The 16,323-nt window shown below is 49.9% G+C and overlaps 1 pseudogene, besides 4 other annotated features; it reads right to left on the bottom strand.

Moving 5' to 3' along the window:
* Positions 3,395-3,939: an enhancer, noted in NCBI's record as "H3K27ac-H3K4me1 hESC enhancer chr6:34196972-34197516 (GRCh37/hg19 assembly coordinates)". NCBI's record gives its function as "activates a minimal SCP1, AML or CMV promoter by ChIP-STARR-seq in naive H9 embryonic stem cells {active_cell/tissue: H9 hESC(naive)}" and the evidence as "EXISTENCE:reporter gene assay evidence [ECO:0000049][PMID:30033119]".
* Positions 6,167-6,982: an enhancer, noted in NCBI's record as "NANOG-H3K27ac-H3K4me1 hESC enhancer chr6:34193929-34194744 (GRCh37/hg19 assembly coordinates)". NCBI's record gives its function as "activates a minimal SCP1, AML or CMV promoter by ChIP-STARR-seq in naive H9 embryonic stem cells {active_cell/tissue: H9 hESC(naive)}" and the evidence as "EXISTENCE:reporter gene assay evidence [ECO:0000049][PMID:30033119]".
* Positions 8,744-8,873: a silencer, noted in NCBI's record as "silent region_17061". NCBI's record gives its function as "represses an Ori minimal core promoter by ATAC-STARR-seq in GM12878 lymphoblastoid cells {active_cell/tissue: GM12878}" and the evidence as "EXISTENCE:reporter gene assay evidence [ECO:0000049][PMID:35858748]".
* Positions 8,974-9,263: a silencer, noted in NCBI's record as "silent region_17060". NCBI's record gives its function as "represses an Ori minimal core promoter by ATAC-STARR-seq in GM12878 lymphoblastoid cells {active_cell/tissue: GM12878}" and the evidence as "EXISTENCE:reporter gene assay evidence [ECO:0000049][PMID:35858748]".
* Positions 12,197-13,762, bottom strand: CYCSP55 (CYCS pseudogene 55; annotated as a pseudogene).

Below are 16,323 nucleotides of genomic sequence, written 5' to 3'. Positions count from 1 at the left end.
TACTAGTGCATCTGGTCATCTGGCAGGATCAGGCTTCCAGGCTCTGCTGACCACAAGTTCTGCTGCCAGCAAGGCTGGCAGGCCTAGAAGGGGAGGAGGGCCTCTGCTGCTTCCAACTTTCGAGGGAAAAACTCTCAAGTGAAAAGGAGGGCCCAGGAATCAGGGCCCTCTCCGCCTTCCTACTGTGAGCTAATGACCCACCTTGCATGGCCCCAAGATGCCATGGACTTGTCAGCTTACTTCTTCAGGGCTAAATCCCCAAGGAAGCCCAGCTCCTCTCCAACCCCTGAAGAAATCTAAGGAGAGAGTGGAGTTGATAAGCATATACTGAATGCACATGTTCTCTCAGATCCTCCACATCCCTACTGGTGAGTGATACTGTTGCCCCATTTCACAGGTATTAAAACCAGGTCTTGGCCGGGTGTGGTGGCTCAAGCCTGTAATCCCAGCACTTTGGGAGACTGAGGTGGGCGGATCACCTTAGGTCAGGAGTTCGAGACCAGCCTGACCAACATGGGGAAACTCCGTCTCTACTAAAAATACAAAAATAAGCCGAGCTTGGTGACGCGTGCATGTAATCCCAGCTAGCCGGGAGGCTGAGGCAGGAAAATCACTTGAACCTGGGAGGTAGAGGTTGCCGTGAGCCAAGATGGCGCCACTGCACTCCAGCCTGGGCAACAGAGTGAGACTCCCTCTCAAAAAAATAACCAAACAAGTCTTGGGGCAGTTAAATATAAATAGCTAAGGATTTTGCCTCTTTCCGCTCTACTGCTTCTATTCCCAGGCTGGATGGGCTTGCTGCCTCCTCCCAGCCTGGCCAGATGGATCCCTCCACGTACCACCACCAAGGGTGTGGCCTTGAAATGGGTAGCTACATTCCTGTCCTCAAGGGGCTTGCATTGAGTGGGGTGCACGAGGGGATAGACAAGTACACAGGCAATTCCACCAGCGTGGTACATGCTGTAATGCCAGCCTGAGGAAGCACAGGGCAGGGGCCCAGGGTGTGGGTGGAGCATCCCAGGAGGCCTAGGAAGCAGGCAGGTGGGAGCAGTAGGGTGTTTGGCATGGGGCTGGACTTGGGCCTGTGAGAGATGCGGTGGGCAGGTATTTGGTATGCACCATGCCCTACATTCCTTTGAAGCAAGTTTTGGATATGAATTGGGTTCCATCAAAGAAAGAAATTTGGGGCCAGGCACAGTGGCTCATGCCTGTAATCCCAGCATTTTGGGAGGCCGAGGCGGGAGGATCATTTGAAGTCAGGAGTTTGAGACCAGCCTGACCACATGGTGAAACCCATCTCTACTAAAATTACAAAAAACGTAGCCAGGCATGGTGGCGCATGCCTGTGATCTCAGTTACTCGAGAGGCTGAGGCAGGAGGACTGCTTAAACCCTGGAGGCAGAGGTTACAGTGAGCTGAGATCATGCTACCGCACTCCAGCCTGGGCGACAGAGTAAGACTCCGTCTCAAAAACATAAACAAAATAATAAAGTGGCTGGGCGCAGTCGCTCAAGCCTGTAATCCCAGCACTTTGGGAGGCCGAGGCGGCTGGATCACCTGAGGTCGGGAGTTCGAGACCAGCCTGACCAACATGGAGAAACCTCGTCTCTACTAAAAATACAAAATTAGCTGGGCATGGTGGTGCATGCCCGTAATCCCAGCTACTCGGGAGGCTGAGGCAGGAGAATTGCTTGAACCCGGGAGGCAAAGGTTGTGGTGAGCCAACATCGTGCCATTGCTATCCAGCTTGGGCAACAAGAGCGAAACTCCGTCTCAAAAAAAATAAAAATAATAAAGTGAAATTTGGTGGGAGGAAGTGCAGAGGGAAATATTGCTGTGAGGAAGTGCAGAGGGAAATATTGCTGTGTGGGCTGTGGAGATACGGGTTTTCTACAAGACATCCAGCATCTAATCACTAGCTTCATGGTGTTCAAGAGGCAGGTGCAGTGGCACAAGGCCTCCTGACCCTAGATCAGATCTCAACCATGCCCGTGGGGCCTCCTGATTCTGTACCCTCCTCATCAGGGCAGAGGCCAGGCTGGCAGTTCAATCATGTTCCAGTGGGCCCAGCATGGAGCCGGCTCCTCCAGTTCTTCCAATGGTTTTGTAAGCACCTAATTCTTGGCATTCAATCTCTCTACATGAAACCTAAGGCATGTTTCTCCTCTGCTCAGATTCCTCCAGGGTGTCTCATCTCATACAGTAAAAAGAGAGGCTTCCAAGGCCCTGCAGTCTGCCCTCTGACCTCATCTCCTACCTGTTGCTCTCTCTGCTTCAGCCACATGGGCTGCTTGATGTTCCCCAGGCCTGCCAGGCATGAGCCCGCCACAGGGCCTTTGCACTTGCTGTGCCCTCTGCCTGGCATGCTTTTCCCCTGATGTCCTCAGGGCTTGCCCTCTCACTGCCTTCAGGTCTCTGTTCAGTGTTACTCATCTACACTATTTACAACTGTACATCTCTAGCCAGGCCCAGCACTTTGAGAGGCTGAGGTGGGCAGATCACTTGAGAGTTTGAGATAAGCTTTGCCAACATGATGAAACCCTGTCTCTATTAAAAATACAAAAAAATTAGCCAGCCGTTGTGGCACATGCCTGTAATCCCAGCTATTTAGGAGGCTGAGGCACGAGAATCATTTGAACCCAAGAGGCGGAGGTTGCAGTCAGCCGAGATCAGGGCACTGCACTCTAGCCTGGGGGACAGATCTAGATTCTGTCTCAAACAAACAACCTGTACATCTTCCCTTACAATCCCTCATCCACTTGATCATGCTTTTTCTCTTGTAACGCTTATCAATTTCTGACATAAATAAACTCATCTATTTAACTGCTATCGAGTATAAATATGTGTGGTATTTTCTGTGTAGTTCCCTCCACTGGAAAGCCAGCTCCATTAGGTTACGGAATTTTATCTTTTGTGTTCCTTGGGGTATCCCTAGGGCCTAGCGTAGTGTTCAAACTAAAAAAAAAAAATGCGTTGAATGAAGAATGATTAGCCAGAGTGGTTTCTGTTATCCGCAAAGGCCAAGCCACAGGGCATCTGTCCCCAAACCTCAAGGCAAAGAAGAGGTCAGGGAACCCAGCAATCATCATGGGAATGGCAGGGTGGCCAAGCCTGAGACAGGTGGGAAGGCTTTTGCACCTTCCAGAGATAGGCGCTTTTTTTTTTTTTTGAGGTGGAGTTTTGCTCTTGTCGCCCAGGCCGGAGTGCAATGGAGCGATCTTGGCTCACCCCAACCTCTGCCTCCCAGGTTCAAGTGATTCTCCTGCCTCAGCCTCCCAAGTAGCTGGGATTACAGGCATGTGCCACCACGCCTGGCTAATTTTGTATTTTTAGTAGAGACAAGGTTTCCCCATGTTGGTCAGGCTGGTCTTGAACTCCTCATCTCAGGTGATCCGCCCACCTTGGCCTCCCAAAGTGCTGGGATTACAGGCATGAGCCACGGCGCCCGGCCCAGGAAATTGTTTTTTTCACTTGATCTCAGGTTTAGTCACAGGAGCTGGCAGCCATCTGACAACAACCACTTTGTCCCTTTGGTTGGGGCAGACTGGCTGGTTTGCTTGTTGGTGACCAGGCAGTGGTGGCAGCTCACCAGACTGTGAGTTGGGCTGGATGAGTGCAAGATTTTGGCTTTTTGTGGAACAAAATCGTTTCCCTTTGGTCTGAGTAACGTGCAGTCCACAGTCCAATGTTACAGGATCTGCAGGTAAAATGCCCCTAAACACAATGCCCCTTTCCACCCAGGACCAGCTGAAAACACATGCACTGCTAAGCTGTGTAGCCTGTGAAAGCCCCATTCGTGTGAGTCGGTAGAAGGAAGCCTGTTAGGATGGCTACTGCACACACATGTGACCCCATTACCCAGGTGCTGGCGTGTTTTCTGGAATCCAGCTTGAGGCCTGGGCTGGGTTTGCCTCCCAGGCCACACACCAGGATTGGAAGTCCATGTCAGCTCACTAGCCAGCATTAGGAAGTGGGGGGTCAAGTCCTGTAACTTTAGCCACTGCTGCTACCCATGTCACACCCACTAGGGAACAGGCACTGACTGAAGTTTCAGGGGATTCTCATATGGTCTTTAACTTATTTCTCTTGTTTCTATTTCTTGCCTGCTTTTTTTTTTTTTCTTTTTTTTGAAATGGAGTCTCACTCTGTCACCCAGGCTGGAGTGCAGTGGCGCGATCTTAGCTCACTGCAACCTCCACCTCCCAGGTTCAAGCGATTCTCCTGCCTCAGCCTCCCGAGTAGCTGGTATTACAGGCTTGCGGCACCACACCTGGCTAATTTTTGTATTTTTAGTAGAGACGTGGTTTCACCATGTTGGTCAGGCTGGTCTCGAACTCCTGACCTCGTGATCTGCCCACCTTGGCCTCCCAAAGTGCTAGGATTACAGGTGTGAGTCATCGAGCCCAGCCTCTTTTTTGTTTTTGAGACAGAGTCTCACTCTGTCACCCAGGCTCCAGGCTGGAGTGCAGTGGCATGATCTTGGCTCAGGGCAACCTCTGCCACCTGGGTTCAAGCAATTCTTTTTTTTTTTTTGAGACGGAGTCTTGCTCTGTCACCCAGGCTGGAGTGCAGTGGTGTGATCTTGGCTGACTGCAACCTCCACCTCCCGGGTTTGACCGATTCTTCTGCCTTAGCCTCCCAAGCAGCTGGGATTACAGGCGCGTGCCACCATGCCCAGCTAATTTTGTATTTTTAGTAGAGACAGGGTTTCACCATATTGGCCAGGCTGGTCTGGAATTCCCGACCTCGTGATCCACCCACCTTGGCCTCCCAAAGTGCTGGAATTACAGGCGTGAGCCACGGCGCCTGGCAGGGGTTCAAGCAATTTTTATGTTTCCGCCTCCTGAGTAGCTGGGATTACAAGTTTGCACCACCACGCCTGGCTAATTTTTCTGTATTTTTAGCAGAGACAGAATTTCGCCATGTTGGCCAGGCTGGTCGTGAACTCCTGACCTCAAGTGATCCACCCACCTCAGCCTCCCAAAGTGCTAGGATTACAGGCGTGAGTCACCACACCTGGCCTCTTTCCTGCTTTCTAAGCCAGGTGGGAATGTGTTGTGGGCTGTGGAGGGGGAACAGTGACCCCAGGTCTGGCTGCCCTGAGCCTCCAAGCCTGACTGTTCTCCATCATTAGCTGTGGGCAGGCTCCCTCCCACCGCTGTCTGGGTTTGCATGAGTTTTGGGTCATTTCCTTCTGCCTCTACAGGCTGCACCATTTACTGAAGGTGTGTCACGGCTAGGGGACACTGTCCTGATTAGGGAGTCATGTGAGACCAGGACTCCAGGCCACCCTGCGTCCTCACCCCGAACCTTTCTCAGGGCTGAGTATGGTATTGGGGTCTCCGTCCTAGAAGGGGCAGGAGGGTACGCTGCCTGCCTGAAACCAGAAGCACAGGGGTACCTGGGGTGGGACATACAGCCCCACAAGCTGTGGGCCAAAGTCAGGAGATGGAACTGAGAGCCGGGTGGAGGTCGAGGGGTGGGGGTCTGGGCTGGGGTGGAGGTGGGCTAGGGGAAAGGGGCCAACACCAAGCTGGAGATTTGTGGGAAGCCTCCAAGGCTTTGTTTTGTTCTTCTCCACACCCACAAGCTTCGCACCAGGGCCTAAGGGGAACTTGGCGCTCAGCAAAAGTTTGGTGAATGGATGGTTGAATGAGAGTGAAAAGGGCTGGGGGAGGGGTAGAGGAAGTGGGTAGCTGGGGGAGGGGAGGAAAGCAGAGTGGGGGAGGGGAGGTAGCCACTGGTGGGAGAGCGGAGGAGGGAGGCAGGCCAAGCTGGGCAAGCCTGCTGGTCTGGAATCTGGCTAGGAGATGGTGGTGGGGAGCGGCCCAGCTGGCTCCCTCTTCCACGCCAACCTCCTCTCCTGCTCCCTGCTCACCCAGTCCTCAGGTCTTTCCCCCACCCATAAATCCCGGGGGTCGATATACCCTCTAAGACCCAGTTAGTCCTCGCTGTAAATTGGGTTGGAGCCTCTTTATTTTCTTACTTTCTAGGAACCCAGCCACTAGGGGGTCTCTAGAATACCTGAGTGGCCTAGAGGGTGAGCAGCGTGAATCTGGTGGCCAGCCCAGGCTGGGACACCTCCCAACTCCTGCCTTCCCTCTGAGGTCTGCTGGATGGCGGGAAATACAGCTACTGGGAACTGGGCATGCCTTGCAGTCTGGGGTGGGATCTGTAAGGGAGACTGGTAAGCTAGCGAGTAGAGAAACTCCAGGGCCTTCCCTGCTGGCAGCTGCCCGGGACTCCCTGGAAGAGCAGTGGAGCTCGCCATGGGCAGTGTCAGGCAGAAGCTGCTGACATTCAGGTTTCTGTGTCATCATACAGGGGGCCTGTTGAGATCCCCGGCTTTTGGTGAGGGGCAAGGGCGGGTCTGCATCCCAAGGCTGGTCCTGCTGCTGCTTGTCTGGGCACTTCTGGGCCTGCTTTCATCTCCCACCTCCAGCCTTGCTGCAGTCTCAATCTTGGTCCCACAGGTCCCCCAGGAAGGGCTGGTTGTTGATCCCAATACTTCTCTTGTGTTTGTGGGCCTGTTGCCTACCAGCCCAGGTGGAGGTGGAGTGTATAACAGTGATCAACAGCTCCTCTCGAAGCAGCTTCTTGACTTGGGGCCCTCTCCTCCACCCCTGCTCCCTGGGATCTGTGCGCATTTCAGATGCATCCTTTCATATCATTTTTGTCCTTGGCTGGAAGGGGCTTTGAGGGTAGGATGGCTGTTGTGGGCAGAAAAGAGGGCCAGTCGTTTTTTTTTTGAGACAGATTTTTGCTCTTGTTGCCTAGGCTGGAGTGCAATGGCGTGATCTCGGCTCACCGCAACCTCCGGAAAAGAGGGCCGGTTTTTCTCCCAGTTCCCAAAGAGGTGTGGTGGGGTTGGCACCTGGAACCTGCTGGCCCCACCCACCTCAGCATTGGCCTGGGTCCATCTTAAGAGGGTGGCTTGGTCTTCTGGAAGTCTACAATGCTTTTCTTTGAAGAGCTTAAAGCACCTACTACGTAGTGAAACAGAAGCCTGAGAAGGTTAAGTATCTTGCTGTAGCAAGGAGTAGAAATGGATAAAAGATGGAGGGTCTGGGGGTGGGGTGGGGCATAGGCCGCCTTTGGTGGCCATAAGAGTTGCGGGTGGAAAGGATGTGACTCTGAGATTGGGGGCCTGTGCCCTGCCTACTGTTGCAGACAGGTGAGATAAGGATAACATTTAATGAGTGCCTCATAGCCTCAGATGCATAACTCCAATCCACACTGGAGGAAAATGCCCTTATTCAGCAAGGTCAGGTGAATTGCGAAGGCCAGTGGCCAAGCCTGGATTCAGATTGCAGGTAATCTGCAGGTCTTATCTGTGGCCCGACTCCTGTCCTCACCACCCGGTCAGGGCTGCCCAGGGCAGACCACCCCCACTTAGCGCTTCCTATCCCAGCCCCTTTGCCCGCCTCTACTTTCCTTATGTTCCACAGCCCACATCTAACATCAAGACTCTGCTGCCCATTGCTATAGCCATTAGGCACATGTGGCCACTGAGTGCTGGGAATGTGTTCAGGCTGAGCTGAAATGTGCTGGAAGTATAAGTACTCACTGGATTTACAAGGCTTAGTACAAGAAAAAAGAAAAAGAAAAACTCAATAGTTTTTTGTATATTGATTACATGTTGAAATGGTAACATCTGGATATATTGGATTAAATAGAATACATTATTAAAGTTAATTTTGGCCAAGCCCAGTGGCTCACGCCTGTAATCTCAGGGCTTTGGAAGGCTGAGGCAGGAGCATCAGGAGTTGGAGGCCGCAGTGAGGTATGATCGCACCACTGAACTCCAGCCTGGACCACAAAGTAGAGACCTGGTTCCTTAAGGAACCCTTTAAGAAGACCCGGTTCCTTAAAAAAAAAAATTAAAATTGGCCAGGCGCGGTGGCTCACGCCTGTAATCCCAGCACTTTGGGAGGTCAAGGCGGGCGGATCACCTGAGGTCGGGAGTTCGAGACCAGCCTGACCAACATGGAGAAACTCCATCTCTACCAAAAATACAAAATTAGTCAGGAGTGGTGGTGAATACCTGTAATCCCAGCTACTTGGGAGGCTGAGGCAGGGGAATTGCTTGAATTCAGGAGGCAGAGGTTGTGGTGAGTCGACATCATTGTATTCCAGCCTGGGCAACAAGAGCGAAACTCGGTCTCAAAAAAAAAAATTAAAGTTAATTTCATGTGTTTCTTTTTACCATCTTAACATGGTTACTACAAAATTAAACATTACATTCATGGCTTCCCTTCTATTTCTATCGGGCAGCACTAGCCTAGATCATTTGCTTATTTTTTGTTTATCATCTCCCTCACCTAACTAGAATGCCAGTTCCTGAAAGGCAGGGGTTAATATATTTTGTTTACTGTCCTGCTTTGTTTACCATCTTGTCCCAGGTTTTTATAACTTGGCATATAGTCGGTGTTTAATAAATATTTCTGTAACTGAATCCCATCGATTGATTCTAGGATGAGGAGGAGAGCCTGGGGGCAGGAGGGAGTTCATCCCTGGTTCCCCCGGGCGCTGCAGGACCTCAAATTGCCCTCCTCCTTCTGCCATACTCCACGAGGCTCCACAAGGTGACGTGGAAGACCCTCAGGGGTCCTTCTTTACACCTCGTGGGAGAAGTGGGTCTGGGGTCTGGCAGTAGGTGAGCAACGCTAGCTTTTGGAAGCTGGAAAAGGGACTGCCCTGTGGAGGGGCCGGGTCCAGGCTGCTGGACCCTCGATACCCCGCTCGCCCAACCCCACAGGGACGCGCAGGCCCGACCCGGGAGTGCGGGCAGCGGCCGCGTACCGTGAGCCGGCCGGGGGTGTGCGTGCTGCTGTCTGCGGGGAGGGCGTGGGTGGGGGGGGTGTGTGCAGCTAGGGCTCACACAAGGTCACTGTGTCAAAGCAGCGTTTCGAACACTTTCTCTTTCCCTGCGATTCGACTGCAGCTCCGAAAGCCCCTTCCGCAGGGACTTCCCTCCGCGCCTGACTCACGCTGCCTCATGCGTGTGACTCAGGCCGGCGCCGCGCCAGCCCGGGCCCCGCCCCCGCCTGCCACCCGGCCCGCCGCCCAGCGCAGGGGAGGGCGGCCCGGCAGGGGCGGGGCCACGGCGGGCAGAGGGGGCGGAGCTCGGGAATGGCAAAGAAACTGAGCCTTAGGAGGATGCACCCTTGTGAGCCTGCTATAGGGAAAGACTGAGGGAAATGAAGACAGCGACTGAGTGAGGGAGACAAGAAGACTGAGAAAAAAGGGAGAGACAAAGTGGGGAAGCACACAGAGGAAAGGGGCCACAGCCTTCTTGAGAGGAGGCCAGGGGAGGCCCAGCTAAGGCAGACAGAAGGTGGGAGGGTGGGAGAGCTGAGCAGTGAGGGGAGGGAGGAGAAAGGAGGGAGACCGGGAGCATGGGGTGCTGGCCTGCTCCGCGCTCTGCTCGCGCCTTGAGGCTGGGATTGTATTAGGAGGCTGGGCGGAGGGCCTCAGAGCCTGGCTCTCCTCTAGCTCCACCTTCCCAGCTCTGTGGCAGCCGGCAGGTTACTTCATGTCTCTGGGCCTCAGTCTTCTTATCTGCGAAATGGCATGGAGCAGGATAATCCTGCTTCCCTATGCTTGTTATTCTTCCTTCGCCCCGCCCCTTCCCCTCCCATGCCGACTTCGTGGCCCGGGCTCCCTTACCAGCTGGCTTTCTGTTGAGCAGCACCCATGCAGCCGACCTGAGGGGAGGCGAGAGAGAAGTCAGGGTACTCCTGGCCCTGTTTTGGTCCTTGGTCTGACTGTGGCTATGCCCCCTCATGATGTCAGCTCGGGAACACTGCATTTTCCCATTGCCCTTTCAGCCCAGAAGTTGCAGTGTCTTGTCATCACTGCCGGTCCCAATACCCAGGTTGATCCCCTTCACCCTGCCCCCACCCCTGTCGTCCTTCCATTAAAGCCTCTTGCACCCTTTGGTTGGATTCCATTTCCTGCCTGGGCCCTGTTTGCTATACAGCAGGGTGAGCACTAAGTGAGGCAGCACAGGACTTAGCATCCATTAAGTGCTCAATAAATCACAGCTCTTACCATCATCATCCTGCTTCTTCAAGAATAGGGGTGTGGGCAAAAATGATAATCATGAGGGGAATGATGCACAGCCTAAAAAAGCTCTTTTTGTTTTTTGAGACAAGGGTTTGCTCTCTTGCCCAGGCTGGAGCGCAGTGGCATGATGGAACCTCACTGGAACCTCGAACTCCTAGGCTCAAAGCATCCTCCCACCTCAGCCTCCCAGGTAGCTGGGACTACAGGTGCACACCACCAGGCCTGGCTAATTTTTAAATTTTTTTTTTTTTTTGAGACGGAGTTTCACTCTTGTTGCCCAGGCTGGAGTGCAATGGCGTGATCTTGGGTCACCGCAACCTCTGCCTCCCAGGTTCAAGTGATTCTCCTGCCTCAGCCTCCCGAGTAGCTGGGATTAGAAGCCTGCGCCACCACGCCTGGCTTATTTTATATTTTTTAGTAGAGATGGGGTTTCTCCATGTTGGTCAGGCTGGTCTCGAACTCCCGACCTCAAGTGATCCGCCTGCTTGTTTTTAAATTTTTTGTAGAGACAGGGGTCTCACTGTGTTGCCCAGGCTGGTCTCGAACTCCTGACCTCAAGCCATCCTTCATTGTTTGTAATGCTGTCTGTTATGGGTTGACCTGGGTCTCCTGCCAAACTCCTGGCCTCAAGCGATCCTCTCACCTTAGCCTTCCAAAGTACTGGGATTACTTCTGCGAGCCACTGTTTGTGGCCCCCATAAATCTTTAAATCATCACGGTGAGTCTGTGAAGCAGGTACGGGTTATTAGTCATTTAGACGCGCAACCTCTGCCTTCCAGGTTCAAGTGATTCTCCTGCCTTAGCCTCCTGAGTAGCTGGAATTACAGGCAAGTGCCACCACACCCGTCTAATTTTTGTATTTTTTAAGTAGAGACGGGGTTTCACCATGTTGACCAGGCTGGTCTCGAATTCCTGACCTCAAGTAATCCAATCGCCTGGGCCTCCCAAAGTGTTGGGGTCACAGGTGTAGGCCACCACACACGGCCCAATTGGCAGAGTTTTTAAATGACCAGTCTCAGTGCTGGCTGTGTTTCAGCCCACTGAGTCCTCTCACATGTTGCTGATGAGAATGGGAAACATGCTTGATCTTTCTGACAAGCAGCTCAATCGTGTGTAGGACTTGAGAAGAGTTCAGCTTTTCGGCCTGCTAATCCCATTTCTAGGAATCTCTCCTCTGACATAATTTAAAAAGGGGTCAAAGGTTTATGTCCCAGCATCTGAAATGTATTCTATCATTATAGTAATAATAATAACAGCAATAAAAGAAAACAACATAAATGCCCAACAGGAGGCAATTGGTAAAACATATTAAGAGTGAACGGCCAGGCGAGGTGGCTCACACCTGTAATCCCAACACTTTGGGAGGCCAAGGCAGGCGGATCACAAGGTTAGGAGTTGGGGACCAGCCTGGCCAACATAGTGAAACCGTGTCTCTACTAAAAATACAAGAATTAGCTGGGCATGGTGGTGTGCGCCTGTAGTCCCAGTTATTTGGGAGGCTGACGCAGGAGAATCCCTTGAACCCGGGAGGCGGAGGTTGCAGTGAGCTGAGATGGAGCCACTGCCCTCTAGCCTGGACGACAGAGCCAGACTCTGTCTCAAAAAAAAAAAAAAAAAAAAGAGGTCGGGTGCGGTGGCTCACGCATGTAATCCCAGCACTTTGGGAGGCCGAGGCAGGTGGATCACAAGGTCAGGAATTCAAGACCAGACTGGCCAATATGGTGAAACCCTGTCTCTACTAAAAATACAAAAATTAACCGGGTGTGGTGGCAGGCGCCTGTAGTCCCAGCTCCTCGGGAGACTGAGGAAGGAGAATCACTTGAACCCGGGAGGCAGAGGTTGCAGTGAGCTGAGATTGCACCACTGCACTCCAGCATGGGCGACAGAGCGAGACTCCATCTCAGGAAAAAAAAAGAAAAGAAAAAGAGTGAAAGATGATGGATTTTTTTTTGAGGGGGACAGAATCTCACTCAGTCGCCCCGACTGGCGTGCAGTGGTTCGATCTCAGTTCACTGCAACCTCCACCTCCCAGGTTCAAGCCATTCTCCTGCCTCAGCCTCCTGAGTAACTGGGATTACAGGTGCGCACCACTGCACCTGGCTAGTTTTTGTGTGTGTGTGTGTGTGTGTGTGGTTTTCTTTTTAATTATCTTTAGTCTTGTAATCACACATAATTTTAAAATTTGTGTATATCTCCATTACTTTAATCCTTTTAAGTTGGCAAAAGCACCATTCCCAATCACAAATACACAGTTCTACAGTTTTATGTTTCTGAATGGCTGTTTAAAGACAATCCTAAATTATAACCTAGTTTGACTTAGATTGTAAAGAATTCAAGAGTGAAGTTTAACTTGCTACTATTTTAAAAGCATGTGACCTTATAGATCTATAAGATGTGAGAGGTGTTGAATAATCTTTAATATTACACATAAACCACACTAAAATGCCTTTCAATAAGTAAAAGGAACCATTTTAAATACAGGGAATTATAATTAGATTGTTATAGTTAAGGCCAAAACTATAGACATTGCTCCCTTACTTATCTTCAACCCTTGCCTTTAAGAGGCAAATGAACACAAAACACAGGTGAATCTTGCTTGGTTCTAAGACAGTGTAGGAATTTCCCCAGTATTTAAATATATTCACATAACCAGTTATAGAAATCTAAATATAAAACCAATCTCCAGTAAGTTTTAAGATGGCACTCACCATCTTTGTGAAAAGTTGAACATTACTAACGAAGTCTAATCATATCTTTAGAAGGGGTAAACAGTGATAGCATTTACTGAATTGGAGTTACTATTAAAATCAAAAACTGAACATATTCATTTAACCACAAGCCAGTCTTAGTTTTAAATCAGGACTGCCCAACAAAATATTCTGTCAGTCATTCATGATCTGAATTCTGGTGTATGAGATCTATTAAAGGATGGTACACATAAAAAAGTCATGAGACATTTCTGTTTTGTAATAAATAAGGCAGTGGCCAATTATTACTCATTAGTAGCTTTTTTGAGATAAGCTATCAAGTCTGCCCTTTCTTCCTCTTTTTTTTTTTTTTTGTTTTTTTTTTTTTGAGATGGAGTCTCGCTCTGTCACCCAGGCTGGAGTGCAGTGGCGCGATCTCGGCTCACTGCAAGCTCCACCTCCCGGGTTCACGCCATTCTCCTGCCTCAGCCTCCAGAGTAGCTGGGACTACAGGCACCTGCCACCACGCCCGGCTAATTTTTTATATTTTTAGTAGAGACGGGATTTAACCGTGTTAGCCAGGATGGTCTCGATCTCCTGACTTCGTGATCTGTCTGCCTCAGCCTCCCAAAGTGCTCGGATTACAGGCGTGAGCCACCGTGCCCAGCCTCTTCCTTCTTAATGCCGACAAAGATCATTTTTGTTCCAGGGATGTACTTCTTGGGATTCTCCAAATACTCCATCAGTGTATCCTCTCCCCAGATGATGTCTTTGTTCTTAATGGTGGCTATGTAAGAGTGTCCAGGGGCCTGACCTGTCTTCCGCCCGAAGAGACCATGGAGATTTGGCCCAGTCTTATGCTTGCCTCCCTTTTCAACAATGTGGCACTGGGAACGCTTCATAATAAAAATCTTCTTGCCTTTCTCAACATCACCCATATTTAATTCTCTTTTTAGTCGCTGGCGCAACGAAGACTCCCGCTCTGAAGCCGGACGTCCCCACTCTCTCTAGTTTTTATATTTTTAGTGGAGATGGGGTTTCATCATGTTGGCCATGCTGGTCTCCAACTGCTGACCTCATGTGATCTACCTGCCTCGGCCTCCCAAAGTGCTGGGATTACAGGCGTGAGCTACTGTGTCCGGCCAGATGATGGAATATTTTATAGCAATGAATATAATTTTTTCAGAGTAAATGCCATTAGGAATGCTGGACACCTATTATAGAACTCCTAGAAGTAATAACTGAGTTTCTCGTGGCCACAGAATATAAGATCAACACATGAAATTCAATTGTGTTCCTATATGTTAGCAATGAGTAATTAGAAGCTGAAATTAAGAACACAATACTATTTATAATAGCTCTAAAAAGAAAGAAACAAAAAAGGAAATATTTGGGTATAACTAAACCTACACAACATACACAGGATGTTCTAACATAATATATGCAGGATGTCTATGCTGAAAACTACAAAAAAATGCTGATGAAAGAAATCAAAGATCTACACAAATGGAGAAACATACTATGTTCGTGGACTGGAAGACTCAACATAGTAAAGATGTTATTTCTCCCCAAACTAATTGAATTTAGTTTCCTAGGGCTGTCATAACAAAGTGCCACAAACTAAGTGGCTGAAAACAATAGAAATTTATTGTCTCACGGTTCTGGAAGCCAGAAGTCTGAAATTAAGATGTGGGCAGGGCGGTGCTTTCTCTTAAGCCTCCAGGGGAGGATTCTTTTCAGCATCTTTCCAGCTTCTGGTGGCTTGCCTGCAGTCACTGGTGTTCCTTGGCTTGTGACAGAAGCACTCTAACTTCTGCCTCAGTTGTCACCTGGCGTTCTCTCTGTGTCTCTGTGTCTCTTCTCCTCCTATAAGAATATCAAACATATTGGATTAAGGGCTGACCTTATCTTAACTACATCTACAATGTGTCTATTTCCAACTGAGGTCATATTTCAAGGTGTTGAGGGTTAGGGCTTCAACATATCTTTTTTTTTTTTTCCTTTCTTGAGACAAGATCTCCATCTGTCACCCAGGCTGGAGTACAGTGGCGCAAATACAGTTCCGTCCACTGCAGCCTTGACCTCCCAGGCTTAAGCAATCCCCTGCCTCAGCCTCCTGAGTAGCTGGGACCACAGATGTGGGCCACCACACCTGGTTAATCTTTTTTTAAAATTAATTAATTAATTAATTTATTTATTTATTTATTTTTGAGACGGAGTCTCACTCTGTCCCCCAGGCTGGAGTGCAGTGGCTTGATCTAGGCTCACTACAAGCTCCGCCTCCCGGGTTCACGCCGTTCTCCTGCCTCAGCCTCCCGAGTCGACGGGACTACAGGCTCCTGCCACCACACCCAGCTAATTTTTTTTTTTTTGTATTTTTAGTAGAGATGGGGTTTTGCCGTATTAGCCAGGGTGGTATCGATCTCCTGACCTCATGATCCACCTGCCTCAGCCTCCCAAAGTGCTGGGATTACAGGCATGAGCCACCACGCCCGACCAATTTATTTATTTATTTATTTTGTTTATTTTTTTGAGATGGAGTCTCCCTCTGTCACCTGGGCTAGAGTGCAGTGGCGCGATCTGGGCTCACTGCAACCTCCACCTCCTGGGTTCAAGCAATTCTCCTTCCTCAGCCTCCCAAGTAGCTAGGACTACAGGCGTGCGCCACCATGCCCAGCTAATTTTTGTATTTTTGGTAGAGACAGGGTTTCACCATGTTGGTTGGCCAGGATGGTCTCGATCTCTTGACCTTGTGATCCGCCTGCCTTGGCCTCCCAAAGTGCTGGGATTATAGGTGTGAACCACCGTGACCGGCCAATTTTTTTTTTTTTAAATGGAGTTTCACTCTTGTCACCCAGGCTGGAGTGCAGTGGCGTGATCTCAGCTCACTGGAAGCTCTGCCTCCCAGGTTCAAGTGACTCTCCTGCCTCAGCCTCCTGAGCAGCTGGGATTACAGGCATGTGCCACCACGCCCGGCTAATTTTTTGTATTTTTAGTAGAGACGGGGTTTCATCATGTTGGCCAGGATGGTTTCAAACTCCTGACCTCAGATGATCCACCTGCCTCGGCCTTCCAAAGTGCTGGGATTACAGGCATGAGCCACCACGCCTGGCCACTAATCTTTTAAATTTTTTGTAGATATGAGGCCTCACTATATTTCCCAGACTGATCTCAAACTTCTGGACTCAAGTGATCCTCCCACCTTGGCCTCCCAAAGCGCTGGGATTACAGGGATGAGCCACTGTGCCAGGCCCAACATACCTTTTTGGGAGACACAATTCAAACCATAACGCTGATCTGTAGATTTAACACAATTCTAATAAAAATGCCAGCAGGAATTTGTATATATAAAAACAAATTAATCGTAAAACTTATATGGAAAGGCAAAGAATAGCTACAACAATTTTGAAAAAGAAGAATAAAGTTGGAGGAATTACGCTACCTGGTTTTAGGATTTGCTATATAGCAACAGGATGGTATTGTATTGTCAGAGGAATGGACACATAGATCGATGAAACAGAATAGAGAGTCCAGAAATAGACCCACATAAGTATGGACAATTGATTTT

This window comes from Homo sapiens, chromosome 6 (genome assembly GCF_000001405.40).
Source record: "Homo sapiens chromosome 6, GRCh38.p14 Primary Assembly".
In the NCBI taxonomy this organism is placed as follows: domain Eukaryota; kingdom Metazoa; phylum Chordata; class Mammalia; order Primates; family Hominidae; genus Homo; species Homo sapiens.
Note: the sequence above shows the minus strand (reverse complement) of the source record. Positions and strands in the feature narration are given on the sequence as shown.